The 21,654-nt window shown below is 53.7% G+C and overlaps 1 protein-coding gene across 3 annotated transcripts, besides 6 other annotated features; it reads left to right on the top strand.

Moving 5' to 3' along the window:
• Positions 1,089-1,178: an enhancer, noted in NCBI's record as "active region_26852". NCBI's record gives its function as "activates an Ori minimal core promoter by ATAC-STARR-seq in GM12878 lymphoblastoid cells {active_cell/tissue: GM12878}" and the evidence as "EXISTENCE:reporter gene assay evidence [ECO:0000049][PMID:35858748]".
• Positions 1,634-13,728, top strand: ASB10 (ankyrin repeat and SOCS box containing 10). 3 transcript variants are annotated; one of them, NM_080871.4, is made up of 6 exons: positions 1,634-1,974; positions 2,767-3,034; positions 7,968-8,487; positions 12,750-12,863; positions 13,129-13,314; positions 13,460-13,728. In NM_080871.4, the coding sequence occupies exons 1-5, from the start codon at positions 1,704-1,706 to the stop codon at positions 13,312-13,314; spliced, it is 1,359 nt and encodes a 452-aa protein (NP_543147.2). In that variant the 5' UTR covers positions 1,634-1,703; the 3' UTR covers positions 13,460-13,728. The 3 variants fall into 3 exon arrangements, with proteins under 3 accessions (NP_543147.2, NP_001135932.2, NP_001135931.2); NM_001142459.2 differs by lacking the exon at positions 1,634-1,974 and adding an exon at positions 2,176-2,611; NM_001142460.1 differs by lacking the exons at positions 1,634-1,974; positions 12,750-12,863 and adding an exon at positions 2,035-2,611.
• Positions 11,438-11,638: a silencer, noted in NCBI's record as "peak6845 fragment used in MPRA reporter construct". NCBI's record gives its function as "represses an SCP1 promoter by STARR-seq MPRAs in K562 erythroleukemia cells {active_cell/tissue: K562}" and the evidence as "EXISTENCE:reporter gene assay evidence [ECO:0000049][PMID:32103011]".
• Positions 14,370-14,664: a silencer, noted in NCBI's record as "tiled region #15220; HepG2 Repressive non-DNase unmatched - State 23:Low". NCBI's record gives its function as "weakly represses a minimal TATA promoter and a strong SV40 promoter by Sharpr-MPRA in HepG2 cells {active_cell/tissue: HepG2}" and the evidence as "EXISTENCE:reporter gene assay evidence [ECO:0000049][PMID:27701403]".
• Positions 14,370-14,664: an enhancer, noted in NCBI's record as "tiled region #15220; K562 Activating non-DNase unmatched - State 10:DNaseD". NCBI's record gives its function as "activates a minimal TATA promoter and a strong SV40 promoter by Sharpr-MPRA in K562 cells {active_cell/tissue: K562}" and the evidence as "EXISTENCE:reporter gene assay evidence [ECO:0000049][PMID:27701403]".
• Positions 20,958-21,207: a silencer, noted in NCBI's record as "silent region_18804". NCBI's record gives its function as "represses an Ori minimal core promoter by ATAC-STARR-seq in GM12878 lymphoblastoid cells {active_cell/tissue: GM12878}" and the evidence as "EXISTENCE:reporter gene assay evidence [ECO:0000049][PMID:35858748]".
• Positions 21,218-21,297: a silencer, noted in NCBI's record as "silent region_18803". NCBI's record gives its function as "represses an Ori minimal core promoter by ATAC-STARR-seq in GM12878 lymphoblastoid cells {active_cell/tissue: GM12878}" and the evidence as "EXISTENCE:reporter gene assay evidence [ECO:0000049][PMID:35858748]".

The raw sequence follows: 21,654 nt of genomic DNA, 5'->3' as shown, positions 1-21,654 counted from the left end.
GCTATTATTGAAAAATGAAAGATAAGTGTTGGCAAGGATACGGAGAAAAGGGGACTCTGCATGGTTGGTGGTGTTGTAAATTAGTACCATTTTGAAAAATAGAATGAAGGTTCCTCAAAAAACTAAAACTAGAATTACCTTATGATTCAGCAATCCCACTACTGGGTATATACCCAAAGGAATTGAAATCAGCATGCAGAAGAGGGGTTTGCACCCCCACGTCCACTGCAGCACTACTCACAATCGCCAAGAGATGGAAACAACTGGTGTCCATCAATAGATGAATGGATTTTTAAATGTGGTGTATCTGGAGGACATTGTGCTAAGTGAAATAAGCCAGGTGCAGAAAGACAAATACCGCATGATCTTGCTTATTGTGGAATCTAAAAAAGTCAAACTCATAGAAGTAAAGGGTAGAATGGTGATTCCCAGAGGCTGGGGGCTCGAGGGAGGTGGACAGGGAAAGGGAAAGGGAAGACATTGGTCAGTGGGTATGATGTTACAGGTAAATAGGATAAGTTCAGGTGTTCTATTGCACAGCAAGGCGACTGTAGTGAATAATGATGTACATTTCAAAATGGCTAAAAGAGGATTTTAAATGTTCTCACCACAGATAAATGGTAAATATCATTTGATAGATGTGATAATTACCCTGATATGATTACACATTATATACATGTATCAAAATATTATAGCCCCATAAATATATACAATTATTTGTCAATTAAAAATGAAACTTTTTAAAAAGCAATTGATTTAAAAAAATTTTTTTAAGCCAGCGTGAGCCAAAGGGGCAAGACCAATGGGGCTGGAGCACCTCAAGCCCATGGTGGGCAGTGGTGGGTCAGAGCTGAGCCCGAGGGCCTGGTTTCTCATCTTCTTTCTCTCTTTTTTTCCTTTTGATCCACCCGGCCCCCAAACAAAAGTCAGTGCCTGAGTACACAGAGACATTTCTCCTTTCTCACTCTCTAGTGAAGAGACCCCATGTAACCACAGCAGGGGAGAGATGCCACCCAAGGTCATCCAGGGAGATGGGGGGGTTGGCATCAAGGACGAGCATGGGGAGTTTCTGTGGCTTGCCTGTGGGTTACGCTCTGTTACTCAGGCACACGTCTGTCTAAGGGAGCCCCCTGAGGGGTGCCTCACACAGCGAGGGCAATCTGTGTCACTACTGTGAACTCCTCCCTTGGTTTGGGAGTGGGAAGGTGCAGGGCTAACAGATGACATTTGGAAGGGCAGGAAATATTATCTGGCACCCACAGGCCTTCCCAGTGGGATCAGAGCCCAGGCAGCTGGAGGCCGATTTGGTGAACAAGAAAGAGCTCAAGGCCCTGGGTTCCAGTCCTGGCTCTGCAACAAGCTCTCTGCGTGATCTTGGGAAATTCACTTCCCTTTAATGCCGAGATGACGGACTGGGCAGCATGGTCCGGGTGGTCCCTTTCCACCCTGAGGTCATACAGCCCTGGGGTGAAGCTCAGGGTTGGCGGGCTCAGGCCTCACTTGTTCTCCTGCCCCTCCCTAATTCCCCCACCCGGCCTGACTGACAGCTGGGCCAGTCAGGGCTATTTATGGCTTTGCCTGATGTTGTGCTCCCCTGCGCCTCCCATGCTGGGCCCCACCCAGCTCGGGCCCAGCACCCACCTGCCCAGTCCACCAGCAACATCGCTGGGAGTCGTGCTGCTTTGGCTCTCCCAGAACAAGCCATGCCCTGGGGAAAGAACTCCTCTCCCCACTGGGGACACCATCTGGGGTGCCTTCCCTCCGCCCCGGCCTGCCGGATCTGGAGGCCCCACTCCCGCCCAGCCTGGGAGCCCCCTCGGCCATCACCACTGCTCTGCCAAGACATGGCCCTGCAGAATGCCCTCTACACCGGGGACCTGGCAAGGTTGCAGGAGCTGTTCCCCCCGCACAGCACAGCCGACCTGCTGCTGGAGAGCCGGGCCGCAGAGCCTCGCTGGAGCAGCCACCAGAGGGGTGAGGGGCATCTGGGGGTTGCTGAGAACCAGGGGGCTGGGCTGACTGCCTCGGCCACAGAGGTCCTAAGGGCTTGAGTGAAAGGAGAAGCCCCCGGCTGTTTCTCCCCGACCTCAAAGCTTGCCCAATAGCCTACACCTTGGCCCAAGAACACAGTCATGTGGAGCCCAGAATAGCTCCTGCTGGATGCGTGGCCAGGTCAGCCTCGGAGCGTGGGACACAGGGGCCTTCTGTCTGTCTGTATTTCCCTCCTGCTCTCTCTCTCTCTCTCTGCCTTTGGCATATACCTCTCCTCCTCCCCACTCCCCTTTCCCTGCCCACATGCTCATGAGTTGGTCTCCAGAAGAGTGCAAGGGGCAGGGAGAGCCCCTCGATGACAGACACCCCCTCTGTGCCAGGCTGGTGGAGAAGCCCAGCAGAGGGTCTGAGGAGCACCTCAAGTCTGGCCCGGGACCCATCGTCACCCGCACAGCCTCAGGACCTGCCCTTGCCTTCTGGCAGGCAGTGCTGGCTGGGGACGTGGGCTGTGTCTCCCGCATCCTCGCGGACTCCAGTACTGGCCTGGCTCCTGATTCCGTCTTTGATACCAGCGACCCAGAGCGATGGAGGGATTTCCGCTTCAACATCCGTGCTCTGAGTACGGGCCGGGGCACTGGGGGCTCTCAGTGGGAGAGAGGGGAGGCTGCAGATGGAGCTCTGGGCTCCCTCTTCCTGCCTCTGCCCACCTCACCCCATTGGCTGGAAGGTCTCTGCCTTCCCTGGGGATCTGAGGCCCACGTCTCCCCTCCCTAGGACTCTGGTCTCTGACATACGAAGAGGAGCTGACCACCCCACTGCATGTGGCAGCCAGCCGTGGCCACACGGAAGTCCTGCGGCTGCTGCTGAGGCGGCGAGCAAGGCCAGACAGTGCCCCTGGGGGCCGCACCGCCCTGCACGAGGCCTGTGCTGCAGGCCACACTGCCTGTGTTCATGTGCTGCTGGTGGCAGGAGCCGACCCCAACATCGCTGACCAGGATGGGAAACGCCCCCTGCATCTCTGCCGGGGGCCTGGCACCCTTGAGTGAGTGACCCCTCACCCCAACCCCCAGTTCCACTCTGAAGGGAAGCAAAGAGGCCTTCTCAGGGAGGATGGGGGAAAATGTCAGGGACCTGGGACAGAGCAGTCCAGGCTTGGGGCGCGGGTCAGGGTGCAATTACTTCCCAAGCCATCCACCCGTTGACCCCATGAACTTTGGAGTGGCCTGGACTTTGGACAGTTTTCTGGTCTCCCAGGGGTGGAGGGAGGCTGTGGCAGGGGTGCAGTTGCATGGCCCGCATTGGGAAATTGCCTGGCTCCATTATGGGGAGGTGGTGTTGCTTAAAATTTTTGAAAACACTTTCTGAGCTTATCCTATGTTCCAGGCACTGTGCTAAGCACAACAGCAACTAAGTCCCTGAGGCCCTGCCCTCAGGGAGCTTACTGTCCAGTGATCCAGACAGGGAGTAGAGGATGGTGGCCCCAGTGAGGACCTGCCTGGGTCCCTCTGGGTAGGGTCTGGTTTTCCAAGACAGGTCTAGAATCTCCATATTGGTAGGGCACCCTCAGATCATGGGCTCAAGGGACTCTCACTAACTAAACTCCCAAGAAACTGATGAATACACCCAAATGTGCCAATGTATCATTTATTGTAGGGAATAGTCCTTTGCAGTGACATAAATAATTGCAACCCAAGTGTAAGGAACGTTGTAGGATGGGATCCCAATTACAATTTTGTGAACTAACTCTACATCCTATAGAGGCCCTCTCTCTACTGACTGCACACCTGCAGGTCTTGTCTCTTGCCTCTGAAAGGTGCCAAATTATTGACCCTGGGGTTCTCCTTTCATGGACCCTCTCCTTCTTGTTAATCTCATCAGCCTCTAGAGGATTCCACAGGCTTAATCATACTATGGTTGAAGATGTGTTCTTTACTAGCGTGGCCCAGTGGAAACCTAATGTGAGCCATATATGCAATTTACAGTGTTCTAGCAGCCCTATAAAAAAAATGACAAATGGCCGGGCACGGTGGCTCACACCTGTAATCCCAGCACTTTGGGAGGCTGAGGCAGGTGGCTTGCTTGAGGCCAGGAGTTCGAGACCAGCCTGGCCAACATGCCCAAACCTTGTCTCTACTAAAAATACAAAAATTAGCTGGGTGTGGTGGCAGGCGCCTGTAATCCCAGCGACTCGGGAGGCTGAGGCAGGAGAATTGCTTAAACCTGGGAGGTGGAGGTTGCAGTGAGCGGAGATTAGATTGCGCCACTGCACTCCAGCCTGGGAGACAAAGTGAGACTTTGTCTCACAAAAAAAAAAAAAAAAAGACAAATATGTAAAATTAATTTTCAAAATGGTGGTAAAATATACATGAAATTTGCCTTTGTAACCATTTTTTATTTATTTATTTATTTTTTGAGACGGAGTCTTGCTCTGCCGCCCAGGCTGGAGTGCAGTGGTGCGATCTCGGCTCACTGCAAGCTCCGCCTCCCGGGTTCACGCCATCCTCCTGCCTCAGCCTCGCGAGTAGCTGGGACTACAGGCCCCCGCCACCATGCCTGGCTAATTTTTTGTATTTTTAGTAGAGACGCGGTTTCACAGTGTTAGCCAGGATGGTCTCAATCTCCTGACCTCGTGTTCTGCCCGCCTCGGCCTCCCAAAGTGCTGGGATTCCAGGCACGAGCCACCGTGCCCGGCCTTTTGTAACCATTTTTAAGCGTACAGTTCGATGGCATTAAGCACATTCATGTTGTTGTTCAACCATCGCCACCATCCATCTCCAAACTTTCTCATCTTCCCAAACTGAAATTCTAACCCCATCAAACACTAACCACCCACCCCACCCTGTCTCCCAAGCCCCTGGCAATCACTATGTTACTTTCTGTCTCTGAATGTGAACACTCTGGGGACCTCACATAAGTGGAATCATGTGGTATTTGTCCTTTTGTAACTGGCTTATTCCACTTAGCATGATGTCTTCAGACTTCACCCATGTTGTCCCATGTTTCAGAATTTCCTTCCTTTCTTTTTTTTTTTTTTACTCTGTCGCCCAGGCTGGAGTGCAGTGGCGTGATATCGGCTCACTGCAAGCTCCGCCTCCCGGGTTCACGCCATTCTCCCGCCTCAGCCTCCCGAGTAGCTGGAACTACAGGCGCCCACCACCGCACCCGGCTACTTTTTGTATTTTTTAGTAGAGACGGGGTTTCACCGTGTTAGCCAGGATGGTCTCGATCTCCTGACCTTGTGATCCACCCACCTCGGCCTCCCAAAGTGCTGGGATTACAGGTGTGAGCCACCACGCCCGGCCGAATTTCCTTCCTTTCTAAGGCTGAATAACACTCCTTTATATGTGTATAGCACATTTTTATTGAATGTTTATTCATTCACCCGTTGAGGGACACTTGGGTTGCTTCCACATTTTGGCTATTGGGAGTAATCCTCCTGTGGACATGTGGGTACAAATATCTTTGAAGCAGGTTAAATTAATTATATTTTATTTAACACAACATATCCAAAGTGTTATCATGTTGACATGTAATCAATATAAAATTGAGGCCGGGCGCAGTGGCTCACGCCTGTAATCCCAGCACTTTGGGAGGCCGAGCCGGGTGGATCACCTGAGGTCAGGAGTTGGAGACCAGCCTAGCCAACATGGTGAAACTCTGTCTCTACTAAAAATACAAAAATTAGCTGGACATGGTGGCGGGCACCTGTAATCCCAGCTACTCGGGAGGCTGAGGCAGGAGAATCCCTTCAACCCCGGAGGTGGAGGTGGTAGTGAGCCAAGATTGTGCCACTGCACTCCAGCCTGGGCGAAAGAGGGAAACTCCGTCTCAAAAAAACAAACAAGCAAACAGACAAAAATTAGCCAGGCATGGTGGTGCACACCTGTAATCTCAGCTACTCAGGAGGCTGAGGTAGGAGGATCATTTGAGCCTGTGAGGCGGAGGTTGCAGTGAGTGGAGATCACGCCACTGTATTCCAGCCTGGGTGACAGAGAGAGACCTTATCTCAAAAGAAAAAAAAAGAGAGAGAGATAGGGTCTCTCTCAGTCACCTAGTCTGGATGTCCAGTGGTACGTTCATAGCTCACTGCAGCCTCAAACTACTTGGCTCAAACAATCCTCTCACCTCAGCCTACAGAGTAGATGGGACTACTACAGGCCCATGCCACCATTCCCAGCTAATTTTTTGTGGAGATGGGTCTCACTTTGTTGCCCAGGATAGTCTTGAACTCCTGGGCTAAAGTGATTCTCCACTGCACCTAGCCAGCTCTGTTTCTGAAGAAGAAGAAGAAAAAAAGGCAAGCATATAACACACCGCATCTCAGTTAGGATTAGCCACATTTCAAGAACTCGATAGCCACAGGTGGCTAGTGGCTACCACTGGATAGTGAGGTTCCACATAATCCCACATTTTTAGTTCTGACCATGTTCCCACCAGCCTCCCTGAGATCACACCCAGTGATAATCCTTCCTTCCTTTGTGAGTAAACAAATGTATTTTAAAATTATTATGGAGACTTTTAAAGATATAGAAAGTCAGACAGGATAATGAAATGAGCTCCCACAATCCATCACCCTCTATACCTCCCACTCCCCCTGCCAAGTGTCGTCATTTTGAGCCCTTACGATGACAGGTTTTTGGGGGTCGTCTCACGTGCTGCTCACAACCACCTCGGAAGGTGGAGCTGTTATAATTATCCCCATTCTACACACGAGGGAACAGGAGCTCAAAGAGGCCAAGTCCCGTTAGCCCTGAAGTGAGGCACACACGTTGCTGTGACTCCCTGTGCTTCTTGCCATCTTGGAGTAAATCCAGTTGGCCAATTTCAGTCTTTTTTATTTTTTATTTTTCTATTTTGAGAAGGAGTCTCACTCTGTCACCCAAGCTGGAGTGTAGTGGCATGATCTCGGCTCACTGCAGTCTCCACCTCCCAGGTTCAAGCGATTCTCCTGCCTCAGCCTCCCAAGTAGCTGGGATTACAGGGGCCCACCACTACACCTGGCTAATTTTTGTATCTTTAGTAGAGACGGGGGTTCACCGTGTTTGCCAGGCTGGTCTCAAACTCCTGACCTCAGGTGATCCACCTGCCTTGGACTCCCAAAGTGCTGGGATTATAGGCATGAGCCACCATGCCCAGCCAATCAGTCTTGTTCTTTATCCCACTGCCCCATTTCCATGTGTGCCCACTGTCAGGCCCCACGCCCCCTTCCTCCTCCAGTCCCAGCATGCAGATCCCCCAACAGTCCTGTTGCCCCTGAACCCAAATAGCAGCCCTACCCCTACTAGCCATGTCAACTTGCATGAGATCCTCAAACCTCAGTTTCCTCCTCTGTGGCATGAGTGCCTTAAGAGAGCCTACCAAGGGAATGTAGTGAGGATGAAATTAGCTACAACACGTAAAACCCTTAGCAGGCGCCTGTTCTAACCACTCATGTGATAACTGCTGGTGACGTTTATTCCCACGGATGATTTAGTGGATTATCCCAACAAAAAGTATTTGGATTTTAAAGAAGGACACTGTTGGCCAGGCACAGTGGCTCATGCCTATAATCCAGCACTTTGGGAGGCCGAGGCAGGTGGATCACTTGAGGTCAGGAGTTTGAGACCAGCCTGGCAAACATGGTGAAACCCCATCTCTACTAAATACACAAAAAACTAGCCGGGCGTGGTGGTGGGAGCCTGTAATCCCAGCTACTCTGGAGGCTGAGGCAGGAGAATCGCTTGAACCCGGGAGGTGGAGGTTGCAGTGAGCTGAGATTGTACCACTGCACTTCCGCCTGGGTGGTAGAACAAGACTCAGTCTCAAAAAAAAAAAAAAAAGAAGGGCACTGTTGATCTTGCAGAATGGTGCCAGGATGACCAGTGATGGGCAGGATGGAGGGTGGGTGGGGGGAGACAGAACCAAGAGCCACCCAAGTGTGTTCCTGCCAGGGGTCCGTGCCCGCTTTCCTCCCCACCACCGTCTCCCCCCAATAGGTGTGCGGAGCTGCTCCTCAGGTTTGGAGCGAGAGTGGATGGTCGGTCCGAGGAAGAAGAGGAGACCCCTTTGCATGTGGCCGCCCGGCTTGGCCATGTGGAGCTGGCAGATCTGCTTCTAAGACGGGGGGCATGTCCTGATGCCCGCAATGCCGAAGGCTGGACCCCACTGCTGGCTGCCTGTGACGTCCGCTGCCAGTCCATCACCGATGCCGAGGCCACCACCGCCCGCTGCCTGCAGCTGTGCAGCTTGCTGCTTTCAGCTGGAGCAGACGCTGATGCTGCGGACCAGGACAAGCAGCGACCCCTGCACCTGGCCTGCCGCCGTGGCCATGCAGCTGTCGTGGAGCTGCTCCTGTCCTGTGGTGTCAGCGCCAACACCATGGACTATGGGGGACACACGCCCCTGCACTGTGCTCTGCAGGGCCCAGCTGCAGCCCTGGCCCAGAGCCCCGAGCACGTGGTTCGGGCTCTGCTCAACCATGGCGCCGTCCGTGTCTGGCCAGGGGCCCTCCCCAAGGTATGGGGGCTGCAGGCAGCAGGAGGGCCACCATGGTGAGGGGACAGGGAGACCTGGGCCTGTGCTCCGGTTTGCTTTGGAATGTGGCCTGTGCACATAGATTGGTTCCTTCTGTCTGTCTTTCATTCAGCATGTAAGCAAAGCCCAAATAGGGGTCAAGGTGAAGACACAGATCAGTGGGAAATGTGTGTGTGTGCATGTGTGTGTGCATGTGTATACATGGTGTGCGTGTGTATACATGTGTTCATGCATGTATGTGCATGTATATACTGTGCATGTGTGATAAAGGCGGACTGGGGGCAGTGGGGCCAGATTAGATAAAGGATCCAAAAAGACAGAAGAAGTCAGGGCTGATGTGGGTGGTGGGCGTTGTTTAAGGGTCTTCATCAGCACAGCAAACTGATGAAAATAGCACTTGAGGAAGCTCCCACTAGCAGTGGGATCAGTTCAGTGACAGATGCAGGAGAGGCTGTCCAAGGGAAGAGGGTGAGCCTGTTTCAGGAGGCTCAAGGTCCCCTGAATGTCTGTAAATGGACATGGTCCCACTTTCTGAGAATCTAATAGGACCCACAGCCCCCAGAACAGCTGCCACTGTCCTGGCACCTGTGAACATGCCTTTCACTGTCAATTTCAATTTATATCCTACTTTATCTTAATTTCCCCTAAGTAGGTTCAACTTGAAGACCTGTGCTACTGATGCCCTGTGAGGGGGCCTTGCCCCATGCTGTGTCGTGTCTGGAGGGGCATAGATAATGTCATGGAGGGCGCTGGGTCTGGGATGGGGACATCCGTTCTCAGAGGAGATGGCTCAGAACCGAAACCACCCTCTGAGTAGGCAGTTCCCCTCTGGCTCAGCCCAGAGTGTTGTCCCACCCAGCCTTGCCTGTCCTGGGACCACCCCTGCTATCCCAGCCTCTCCCCTTTGCTCACAAACCTAGAAGCATCTGTCTGGATTCCTAAGCAAGACCAAATAATTAAACAGCCCAAGAGTTCGGCAGATTGGTCTCCCCTTTGGGAAAATACAAGAAAATCAACAATTAACACTAATTAATCTCCTATTAACACTAGATAATTAGGAGACAAGCAATTCCCTGTAATCTGACGGCAGCTCTGACAGCTAATGATTTCCCTGGCAGGCAGGGGCGGGAGGAGGGCCCGGCGCAGCGAAAGGGTTTCCTGGGTCCCCACAGCCCTGCTCCACCTCTCAGCCTGTCTCTGGGACCAAAGGGGCTGGCAGAGCAAAGTACCCCATTTGTCCCTTTCCATGATCTGCAGCCCTGCCAGCTGAGGGGTTTCTGTCCTCCCTGCACAGAAGCCTCCACCGCCCATCTGTGATGAAATGCCAGCCCCAGCTGGTTCTCTAGGAGCCACCACTTTAGACTTGGTGCTCAGGGGACCTGGATCCAGGATGTGACTTTGATGCTTGTTCGTATGGGTGTAGGCAAGTCACTGCATGTGATACAGCCTCTCCCTAACAGGATGGAAAGCTGTAGGAGAGCACTGGGGAACAGTCGGAGCAAGCACAGCCTTGACTACACACCAGGCACTGCTCTAAGCTGTATTTCCTGTTACAGGAGTTCCTCAGTCCTCCCAGCAACTTCTGAGTTCAGTGGTGACTAGGAGTGTAGGCTCTGGAGCCAGACACACTACCTGTGTGGCCTTCGGCAAGTCGCTGAATCTCCCTAGGCCTCAGTTTTGTCATCTGTAACATAGGGATATGATACTATGCCTTCTTCATAGGGTTACTGTGAGAAGAGTTAATACACATCAAGCCTAGTGCTTAACACTTGTTAGCTAGTGTTGTTCTTGTTATGTAATGTATGAGAAAGCACTTGGTAAGCTGCTTGGCATCATCCCAATGAGGGTATCATTGGACATGGGAGTGAAGCAGGTTGATGTAGCTGCATGGGCTTCCTGGAGGAGGCAGGACTGGGATGGGCAGTTTTGAAGGGAAGGAGGAGGAAGAGGCAGGCATTCCAGACACAGCGAGCTACTTGAGCCCAGTGCAGAGGTGGGGATCAACATGGGCCAGGAAGGACAGAGACGGGCCTGAGGGGCAGGTGGAGAGGAGAGTTGGAGAGAACCAGCCTGCTCTTCCCTAGCTTGGAGGAGGAGTGAGGAAAAGAGGCCTCCCGGGACAGACTGATGAGCACTGCTCAGATGCAGGGCTAGAAGCAGAGGCCCCAGGTGTGTAAAATGCTTTCTCCAGGGACCCCTGGAAGGCCAGGCCTTCTGCTCCCACTGCTCATTGGTACTCTCGTCTGACAGACAGAAGGGTCTCCTCTCCTTGCAGACAGAGTCTGTTAAACCCCCACCGCTAGATGCAATTGTGTTTGGCCACATGTGGGTTGTGTGTGAGATGCTGCCTGAAAGACAATACTTAGCTGTTTTCAGATCTCAAAAGGCTCTGTGGCCATCGCCTGCATAGATGCAGCGAGAGTGGAGTGCAGTGGAGGAGGCACAAATCTGCTTTAGGTACTGAGTTCAGGCACAAGCGGGTGTCTTAGTGCCAGTGTCTGTCAGGCCACTTTTCTGACCACGTGGACGGTCTGTCCACAGGCTGCTCCACTGCGTGGCTTGCCCGCTTGCTGCACTGGACCACCACCTCAGAGACCTTTCTTGGCCACTCCGTCTAGGACAGTGCCCTCCCCAACCATGCTCAGTCCCCTGACCCTACTTTTTTTTTTCTCTTTTGAGACAGGGTCTCATTCTGTCGCCCACACGTGCCGTGGCACGATCCCGGCTCACTGCAACCTCTGCCTCCCAGGCTCAAGAGATTCTCTTGCCTTAGCCTCCCAAATAGCTGGGATTAAAGGTGCATGCCACTACCGCCCGGCTAATTTTTGTATTTTTAGTAGAGACAGGGTTTCACCATGTTGGCCAGGCTGGTCTCAAACTGCTGACCTCAAGTGATCCACCCACCTCGGCCTCCCAAAGCGCTGGGATTACAGGCATGAGCCGCCACGCCCGGCTCCTTCTTATTTTTCATTGCAGCAGCAGATCTGTGAGTGATGACTTCTGTGTTTATTATGTTTTCCCTCTGAAATAGAAGCTCTTGGATGACGAGGACTTTATTTTCCCCACTGCTGGATTCGAAGTGCTTGGCACATAGTAGGCCCTCAATAAATAGTTGCTGAATGAACCAATGAAAGCATATATCTGGCTCCAACTAGGTTCCACCCCTGCTCCTACCAAATCCTCTCCTGCTCCTGCAGGCAGTCCATCAGCCTCAGGTTGCCTTGTCCCTTCTCCCTGAATACCCTCCAGGCTCTGGGGTTCCCTTGCCTCCAGAGCCCAGTCCTCCCTCTGTGAGTCCCCCACCCAGCCCCACCCCACTCCCTGGCCCCCTCTTGTAGCTGTCTCTACCCTCACTTGGCATTGGATGGATTCTGTGATCTTTTTATCTGCTCAGGAGCTCCAGCCACAGGTCAGGGACCCCTTCCAGCCAGCAGAAAACCCAGCCCAGAACCTTGTAGAGGCAGAGAGGAGAGCAGGATGGTGGTGTGGTTAAGGGCAAGGGGTCACGCTTCCAGGCCTGGACTGTGGGAACCACAACTTGGGCAAGTTAATTAACTTCTCTGTACCTCAGTTTCCCTTGGCTGTAATGAAGGAAATGGGATAATAACATGGGATATTAACAGTCCATCCCTTGCAGGGACAACAGTGAAGAGTTCATACATGTCAAGTGCTAGAAATCATCTGGCCTGAGTTATGCACAATAGAAAGGTTAGCTGCTGTATTGGCTTCCTGGATCAAATGAAGTACCACAAAGTGGGTAGCTTAAAGCAACAGAAATGGAGTTCCCTTACAGCAGTGGAGGCTGGAAGTTTGAAATGCATATGTGGGCAGGGCTGGCTCCTTCTGGAGCTTCTGAGGGAGAATCTGTTCCATGGTGCTCTTGTAGCTTCCAGTGGTTTCCCACAATCCTTGGTGTCCTTTGACTTGTACATGTGTCACTCCACTCCACTGTCTGCCTTTGTCATCACGTGGCCTTCTTTTCTGTGTCCGTGTCTGTGCCTCTGTTTTCTCTTCTTATAAGAACACCAGTCATATTGAATAGGGCCCACCCTAATGACCACATTTTAACCTGATTAACATTTGCAAAGACCCTATTTCCAAATAAGGTCCCATTCATAGGTACAGGGGGATAGGTCTTCAATATATCTTTTGGGGAACAAAGTTCAACCCACAACAACTATTCTGGAGCTGTCTGGTCACTGTGTGGACTGACTGAGGACCCAACATGCCTCTGCCTCCCACAGGTGCTGGAGCGCTGGAGCACGTGCCCTCGGACCATCGAGGTCCTGATGAACACCTACAGTGTTGTGCAGCTTCCCGAGGAGGCCGTCGGCCTGGTGACTCCTGAAACTCTGCAGGTCAGATTCCAAGGCCCTGAACATAGAGCTTCTCATCCTGGTCCCAAGACTCCCACCCGCTAAACCGCAGCCCCCCATAGAAAGTACCCAAAGATGCACTCATGTCCCAGAAGAGAGAACTTGCAGAGTGAACACTCAAACATTCATTGTTTCTAATAGGTTCCTTCCGGTAGATGCCCCACCCCTCACCAGCCTACCCTGTGAGGAGGAGCCGGTGCTACCTGTCTGAGGCTGCCTCTCACTGAGCCCCTTGTTCTGCCCCCAGAAACATCAGCGTTTCTACTCCTCCCTCTTCGCCTTGGTGAGGCAGCCCAGGTCGCTGCAGCATTTGAGCCGCTGTGCGCTCCGCTCCCACCTGGAGGGCAGCCTGCCCCAAGCGCTGCCCCGCCTCCCCCTGCCACCGCGCCTGCTCCGCTACCTGCAGCTGGATTTTGAGGGCGTGCTCTACTAGGTGAGCCCCGGGATCTGTGAGCAGTCACAGCTGCTTGGGGTCCAGGGATGTGTGGAAGGCAAGAGAAGGGTTGGGGAGGGCCCTAGCCAGAACCGGCCCGTCCCCGAACCACCAGAAGCCTCTGAATCCAAACCTCTCCTTCCAGATGTCCATGGCCTTTTGAGAGGGCCTGAAAGCAGATGCCCCAGCCTGCAGAGGGCGCGCCTCTGCACTAACTCAGGCCAGGTAGCCCTGGCAGCAGGAGGCCCAGCTCCGCAGGCAGGTGTGGATGCTGCAATTCCCAATGCAGAGAAGCGGACCGACAGCGGCAGCCGGGTGATGTCTGATGAAGACACACTCCTACTGGGGCTCTCCTGAGGCCCCCTTCTAGCCTGTGCAAACCCTGTATGTGCATTAAAAATCTCCAGGTCTGTGTTTGGTGCTGTCTCCAACAGACCTTCCTCTGAACTGGCTCCCTTGCAGGGGAGTCGGGATGGGCGGACTGACAGGGGCTCCCTGCCTGCCCCACGGTTCCAGCTGAATCACCTTCCCCTTTGGCATCAGCCGGCTGCTAAGGGGTCCCAGGCTTGCCAGCTCCATGAAATGACAGAATGACCGCCAGGTGAGAACGCGTTTGAAAAGGCCTAAAGGAGGTGCAGGGTGCACATGGAGGCAGTGCAGAGAGTTGGGCAGGAAGGCACAGGAACCCTTGGGGTAGGAAGGTGAGGAGGCAGGAGAGCCACCCGGAAGGAGGGGCATGTGGGGTGGCCGATCGCAGAGGGTAACCATGGCTCAGGTGACAGCGAAAGGCCCAGGTTTAGAAAAACAGAACCAGTTCTGCCTATTGCCTGACACGGTAGGTCAGGGAGCACCAGAAGCATGCCTGGTTCCTGCCTCTTTTATCTGCTCCTTCCTTAAATTTAGCTCTGGCCGCAAGAGCGCTGAGTTGAAAGTTCCATGACACAGGTTCTGGTCTTAACTCTGCCATTAACTTGTGGAACGTAAGTCTCTTCCCTCTCTGGGATCACGTTTCTGCATCTGTAAAAAGAGAGGGAGGAGAGTCCCTGAGGGTCATTGCAGTATCAGGATTTTCAGAACCTGCCAGAGGCCCCAGCAGTCGGGAGCTGCCTGCAACCACAGGCGAAGGGCAGGTGGTCGGGACAGAGCAGCCAATCAAGTGCACCGTGATCCCTGACGTCAAGGGTCGCTGGACAGAGTTCCCCCAGGCGGCGGAGTGCGCAAGCGCTGGAGCTCGCGACTTTCCCGCCAACCGGCACTAGCGAGGCGACGAAGGGCGGGGCCAGGAGGGCGCGAAGGGACAGGGGTTGGGGCCTGGAGGGCGCGAGGCGGCAGGGGGCGAGGCCTGGAGGTCGCGAGGCTTTAGGCCGCGCGGACCAGAGCCCGAAGCCGGGTTAGGCGTTGAGAGGCGGCTGAGGAGAAGCGGAGAGGAAGTGAGGGGGCCCGGATTCCCACCCTGGCCTCACGGACCTTGGGCTGACCGGTCTGTCTGGCTTCAGGTACTAGGGCGCGGCTCTGGGACGCGGGTGCGGGTGGGCAAGCGGTGGAGGCTCCTCGCTGTGGAAACCCCAGGCGGACCCCGACCGCACAGGCCCCACCTCGCGGGCAGGAAGCGGCTGCCCCAAGACATGGGCGGGAACCTGGTGCGCGAGGCCCACTCCTGTCGAGGGCCTGCGGGGCGCCCCGTGGAGACCGCGGCTCGGGTGGGGGTCCCGGGGGACGCCCTAGTGCTCGATGGTTTGTTCCGCAGCCGTTCCAGGGCCTGCTGCGTTCAGGCACCGCCGCACGGGGGCAAGGACTGCCCTCCAGGCCCCCACCAGGGTCCGCTTGCGCGGGGTAGCCGGAGCGCGGCGCACAGGAGGAAGCGGCAGGTGCTGCCGAGCCCGGGGAGAGACGTGCGGGATGGGGGGTTGGCAGTCGGTGACAGGGAAACCTGCTCTCTGAGGAGGTGACATTTAGCCTGAGACCTGAGTAGAGCAGATCAGTAGGAGTGGCAGGACGGACCGTCCTGGCTGCGGGCGTGGGTCGGGGGGCACCTGCGGCGGTGGTCCAGGCCAGAGGTGGTCGCGGCGGGCGAGATTCGGGATCCCTGGGAAGAACTGGGGGGCCGCCGCTGGGGGGGATGTAGGGGGCTGCAGAATAGCGCTGTCTAGGGCGACTCGCAGGTTTTTGGCTTGGACCCCTGGACGGTGGTGCCAGATGCTAAGATGGGGAAGACGAGGAAGTAACGGGAAGCAGAAGGCCGTTGCTGGGGAGATGGCACTGGAGCCGCCTAGGAAGCATCTCAGAGGCTGTGGCCCTTGGCACGGGGATCTGGGGCCAGGTCGAGCGCAGGTCTGGGTATCATGCGAGTGCGGGCTCGCTGGTGCGGGAAAGAGTTTGGAGCTCTGCTCCCAGGGAATCCCGACTCCCGCAGATGACTTGCCCGAGAGAGTCCTGCTGGTGGATTTTGATGGAAATTCTATTTGATCGCACCCACTTGGTTCACTGTGTGCTTCCGGGTCCCCAGGTTTTAGGTGCTTCATGCCCTGCTGGGAACGAGACACGCTCCTGCCCTCAGTGAATCTTCAGTCTAGTCTGAGAAACAAGGGTGTGAACAACCAGTTAGAATACAAGGGGCAATAGGATGAATGCAAGATAAACGTGGGAGCAGGAGCTGGGGGCATGAAGAGGAGGGTGAGGAATGGGGTTGAGATCTGGGAGGGCGTCCCAGAAGAAGGACCCTCCTCTAAAGTGATAGGAAGATGGGGGAGGATTTCTGGCCACATCTGGAGAGCCTGCGATCATGGGATGCCTTTTTAAGGACGGGGAAGGGAAGAAAGGCGATGTGGAGTGGTGGCTGTGAAGGGGCTGTGCACAACTTCACATATTGTCCCCTTAGCGGGCAATGTCAGGAGGGTCCTCACTGGGGTTAGACATTCAGACTCTTGCGAGCCAGGGCGCTCCCTCCCCAGCCTCCTGGCTGTTGGTCCCGCGGGCCCAGAACCTCTCCCTGGTAATTGCTTTTCGTAATGTGTTTGCTCCAAACCAATTTCACGCCTCCGTGAGGACTCCGCCCTGCACTGAGGCGCGGACCTCCCCACCACCAACCTACCCGCGTGTGAACGCGCGGGCTCATACATACTGTACACATTTAACACAACAGAAATACAGGGTTCGGGTACCGGGGCACACTAAACATACTTAACCCTACACTCACGCACACTAGACGTTAAGACACTCACGTACAACCCCCCGTCCCCAAACAGTGCATTCACAGTTAAGCATCTAGAGGCGTCCCGCGCGCTCGCCCTTGGATGCTCCGTTAGTGGTTTCTTTGCCCTCGGCGCGTCTCCTGGACTGTCGCCAGGGGGCGCTGCAGCACCCCGCACCTCCTTCGCCGTGCCCGCAGTTGTGCGCTGCTGCCACCAGAGGGCACCCGCGGCCAGGCCCGACGCTGCCCACCATGAGAGGACTTTCTCTGGCCAATGAGTGGATTGGAGGTATAGATTTGTGGTCTTTGACTTGAATACTTTGTTTTTTTCTTAGCATCCTTGGTGCTGGTTGGCAACACAGGTCAGGCCAGATGATGAGGCCGCGGTGGGCACAGAGGGTAGATTAAAGATAAAATTCCTCTGTAGGAGCATTTCCCAAATGTCAGAGAATATGGACAAAGCAGCACTTTCAGAATTCTGTTTCGGACAATGAGACCAGGTACTTGCCCATAATGCGTCTGTTCAGGAATTCAGTAGGAGAATCATAGTTTTTTGCTGGTAAAGAAAGGAACTAGCTCTGTTCAGATTTGACAGAGGTAAGGTCTGTACTTGATACTGATGAGAGAGTGAAGTAGTTTTTGGAGTGCTCTGGATTTCAGGGAAAATGAGTCCCCTTCCTTTCTTCGCCACTCTACTCTTTGTCTATTTAGTGCAGGAAGAACTCGTTTTGGAAGGTGTTTTTTCATATTCAATTGACTCTTGCCCTTGCTTTTTGACTAGACAAAGTTTTTTTTTTTGAGACGGAGTCTGACTCTGTCGCCCAGGCTGGAGTGCAGTGGTGTGATCTCTGCTCACTGCAAGCTCCGCCCTCTGGGTTCACACCATTCTCCCGCCTCAGCCTGCCCAGTAGCTAGTACTACAGGTGCCTGCCACCACGCCTGGCTAATTTTTTGTATATTTAGTAGAGACGGGGTTTCACCGTGTTAGCCAGGATGGTCTGGATCTCCTCACCTCGTGATCCACCCGCCTCAGCCTCCCAAAGTGCTGGGGTTACAGGCGTGAGCCACCACGCCCAGCCCTTGTTGTTCTTATTTGTAAGACAGGGTCCTGCTCCGTCACCCAGGCTAGAGTGCAGTGGCACAATCTCTGCGCACTGAAGCCTCAACCTCCCCGGCTCAAGTGATCCTCCCACCTCAGCCTCCTGAGTAGTTAGGACTACAGGCATGTGCCACCATGCCTGGCCAATTTTTAAATTTTTTTTTATAGAGACGGGATCTCACTATGTTGCCCAGGCTGGGCTTGAACTCCTGGTCTCAAGTGGTTCTCTCACCTGGGCCTCCCAAAGTGTCGGGATTACAGACATAAATCATTGTACCCAGCCAGAGTAGATATTAATCACTCTCCCTCACAGATGGAGATGTCAAAGAGGGGTCAAGGTCACAGGGCCCAGTGAGGGGTCAGAAGAGGAATTTGATTCCAGGTCTTTTTCCTTTAGCCAGTGCTTCTTTCCATTTACCATGTGGCCTCAGTTCTATGTTCTATGAAAGGGCAGGGAAAGGAAATGGGTTGCTGCAGTTGCCACTATGTATGCCAATGTTACGGAATGTCAAGGACTTCACAGAAGTCACACTTCGTATCTCTAGCATGGCAAGGGAACAGATAGAGGATATAAATGGGTTATGAAATACAGTATCTAACAAACACAAACCACACCAGGTCAGTAGAAGTACTTAAGGTCTCACCTGCCTCTGTTCAGAATTGGTGGCCCACTGGGATTTGTTGGCACTAAGTTTTAAGTATGTACTTCCTGGCCAGGCGCAGTGGCTCATGCCTATAATCCCAGCACTTTGGGAGGCCGAGGCAGGCAGATCATGAGGTCAGGAGTTCGAGATCAGCCTGGCCAACGTGGTGAAACCCTGTCTCTACTAAAAACACAAAAATTAGCCGGGCATGGTGGCAGGCGCCTGTAATCAGAGCTACTTGGGAGGCTGAGGCAAGAGAATCACTTGAATCCGGAAGGAGGAGGTTACAGTGAGCCAAGATCATGCCACTACACTCCAGGCTGGGCAACAGAGCGAGACTCCATCTCAAAAAAAAAAAAAAAGTAGGTACTTCCTGTGCCAGCTTGAGTAGAGAATCCACTTTACTGAGTATAGTTCTAAGCAATAAGCTCTTGGCATGAACTAGGCGACATATATCTTCAAGATCAGAGGGTTATTTTATTTATTTATTTTTTGAGATGGAGTTTCCCTCTTGTTGCCCATGCTGGAGTGCAGTGGTGCGATCTCGGCTCACTGCAACCCACCTCCCAGGTTCACGCGATCTCCTGCCTCAGCCTCCCAAGTAGCTGGAATTACAGGCATGTGCCACTATGCCCAGCTAATTTTGTATTTTTAGTAGAGATGGGGTTTCACTATGCTGGTCAGGCTAATCTCGAACTCCTGACCTCAGGTGATTCACCCACCTCGGCCTCCCAAAGTGCTAGGATTACAGGCATGAACCACCATGCCCAGCCCAGAGGGTCTTTAAGACATTTTTTAGAGACAAGGTCTCCCTCTCTCACCCAATCTGGAGTACAGTGGTGTGATTATAACTCATTCTAACCTCCAAATCTTGGGCTCAAGCAATCCTCCCGCCTCTGCCTCCCAAGTAGCTGGAGCTACAAGTGTGTGCCACCGTGCTTGGCTAATACAATCAGAGGGTCTTTTAATCTTGAGTCCTTGACATACCAGAATGTGACAGGCTTCTTAAAGTGGCCTTTTATTGAAGGGACTGGTGGAAGAGAGATGTTTCAATATATATCCTTTTGAGCTTTTGGAACTTGGTACTATGTGATTTTATTACCTATGCAATAAATGAATGCAATTACTTTTAAAAATGGTTCTTCCTTCATGCCTTATTTGGCTGATCCTGTAACTGCTCATACAGGTTTAATTTCAGTTTTGTAGCCCAAAGTTGCCTCAATTTGTCAAGTCAGTAAGCCTCTGTTATGTATCCAACACCGATAAGCCCTCTCACTTTAAAAATACAATATACTTTTGAAGCTTCATCTTGCATGTTGGTATGGTAAAGTGCTTGGTTAATTTAGCAAAGGGGTGTTCTGAAGAGTATCTTTAGACAAGTTCTTTAGTAGTGAGTTGGAGTTAAGCTAAGGCACCTCTTCTTTCTCCATTGTGACATCTTACCACCAGACTCGTTCCTTAGAAATTTCACTGGTTTAATGTGGAGCCCAAGGTAGATCAAGACTGCATGGAAATGACACTCTTCTCTGTTCACTTCTCTGATGAATTGTCAGTTAAGGCATAACCAAAAAACTCCCTTCTTGAGTCCTGCCCCCTTCCTCAGTCCACCCTGGTGACAGTGTCTTTCAGGTACTGATTTAAATACATCAGCCTGACTTTAACAGTGTTCACTAGGCTAACACAACACTCCTGATTTGGGACAAATGTCACTGAGACCCAGAGTTCCCTCCTGCCCTGCTCTGTCTTGGCCGGGCAATCCTGGAACTTGTGTAGGTTTTCGTCCTCGCTGGAGCCAAATCACTTCCCCTACCTAGACTGCATCTTCCTAAACTTGCCTGGCTTTACTGTTATCAGTTTTAACTAGCTTGGCTCTACCCAGCCTCACCTGAATAACAATTTCCTTGTGACCAGATGACACTCACTGTAGCTGGCCAGGCTTGCCCTGTGTCCTGAAGCTTGAGTCACTCTTCTGTTGACTTGCCTGTCTTGTCTCTTTCTTGCCCACTGACCTGAGGTGGCTATCAAGCCAAACTGTCTGACTTTTGCCTCTAGATTGACAACTCTACTGCTGGGAATTGGGAGGAGGGGGAGGACGATGGTAAAAGGCGCCACCATTTCTGTGTCTCAGAAGGGGGGAGGTGAGAGTCATCTGCAATTAGCGGATAATTAGCGCTGCTGACCCTTGGGGCTCATCAGCGCTCCTGGGGCCAGCCCCCAGCAATCAGCCAGGGCAGGTCGTGAGTGTCAGGCCCGGGAATGAATAGGGCTCATCAGCGGCGCTGGAGCTGGGGAGCCAATCAGGGAAAATTAATAGCAGAAGAGAAGGAGAGAGAGCGAGGGAGGGAGACAAGAGATAGACAGACAGACAGACAAGAGATACAGATAAAGGAAAGACATGAGAAAAATCGAGTAAGAGGGACTGGGATAAGGAATGAGAGATGGGAAAGAAATAATCAGAGGAATAGGAATAGAAACGAGGACGGGAAAGGGAAGAGGGGTGGGAGGAAGAAAAAGAATGTAAAGGACGGGAGAAAGATGGAGGGGAAAGGTCAGAGGAATGGTAAGTACTTGGCATAGTGTGGGCACTCAAGGAAATTACCCACCGAGGCAAGAGAAAGGGACTAGGGGAAGTTGGAGATGGAGGAGGGAATGAGGAAGAAGGTGAAGAGCCAATGCCAAGAGAATAGAGACCAGAGGCCAGAGTGCGAATGGGGCAGATAGGAGGAAAGGGGCCCCGTAAGAGTGGCCCTAAGCCGCAGAACCGGGCGGGCCCAGCGCGCCCCCTGTCGGCCCCGCCTCGCCTCCCTCAGCCCCGCGCTCTCGCTGGAGGGGGCGGTGGCCGTGCTGTCCCGCCCGTCGCGCCGGAGCTTGCTCTGGGGACCGCCACAACGTCCGCTCCACGGGCAGGGGAGGGGTGTCGGAGCTGGGAGGCACGCCGGGGAATGACTTGGGGCCCGAAGGAGGGCGGCGGCCCGGAGCAGAGGGGTGCTGAGGTCCGGCCCCGCCGCCTGTCCCTGCTGGTGCGCCCTCTCCGCCTGCCGCCCGGTGTCCCATCCACGCTCGGCCCCGCCGCCCCATCGGAGCCTGGGCCACCTCCCGCTTGCCCTCCTAGCCGGAGCCCGGGCCAGGTGGGCTGAGTTGGGGGGGTGGACTGGGTGGAGGGAAGGGGACCGGCCCAGCAGCTGCCGCCGCCTTCTCGTCGGCCGCAAACTTTCACAAAGCGGCGTGTCCGGCCTCATCAATCTCCATTAATAATAGTTGGTTGGGCCGCGGGGGGCGGGTGGGGGTCCCGGGCCGGCCGGCCGGGCCGCTGGGAACGGGCTCTGCGGAGGGAGCGGGAGCCGGGCGCGGCGGCGGCGGGCGGAGGGAGGAAATGAAGCGTAATTTGAGGAAGATGGATGAGTCCG

This window comes from Homo sapiens, chromosome 7 (assembly GCF_000001405.40).
Source record: "Homo sapiens chromosome 7, GRCh38.p14 Primary Assembly".
Classification (NCBI taxonomy): Eukaryota; Metazoa; Chordata; class Mammalia; order Primates; family Hominidae; genus Homo; species Homo sapiens.
This window is presented reverse-complemented; position numbering and strand designations above follow the sequence as displayed.

Bases quoted from the DNA above. Each gene is read 5' to 3' on its own strand.
- ASB10 (NM_001142459.2), top strand. From the start codon at position 2,296: ATGCTCATGAGTTGGTCTCCAGAAGAGTGCAAGGGGCAGGGAGAGCCC. The intron at 3,035-7,967 runs GTGAGTGACCCC...TCCCCCCAATAG, and splicing joins CGGGGGCCTGGCACCCTTGA to GTGTGCGGAGCTGCTCCTCA. The intron at 8,488-12,749 runs GTATGGGGGCTG...TGCCTCCCACAG, and splicing joins GGCCAGGGGCCCTCCCCAAG to GTGCTGGAGCGCTGGAGCAC.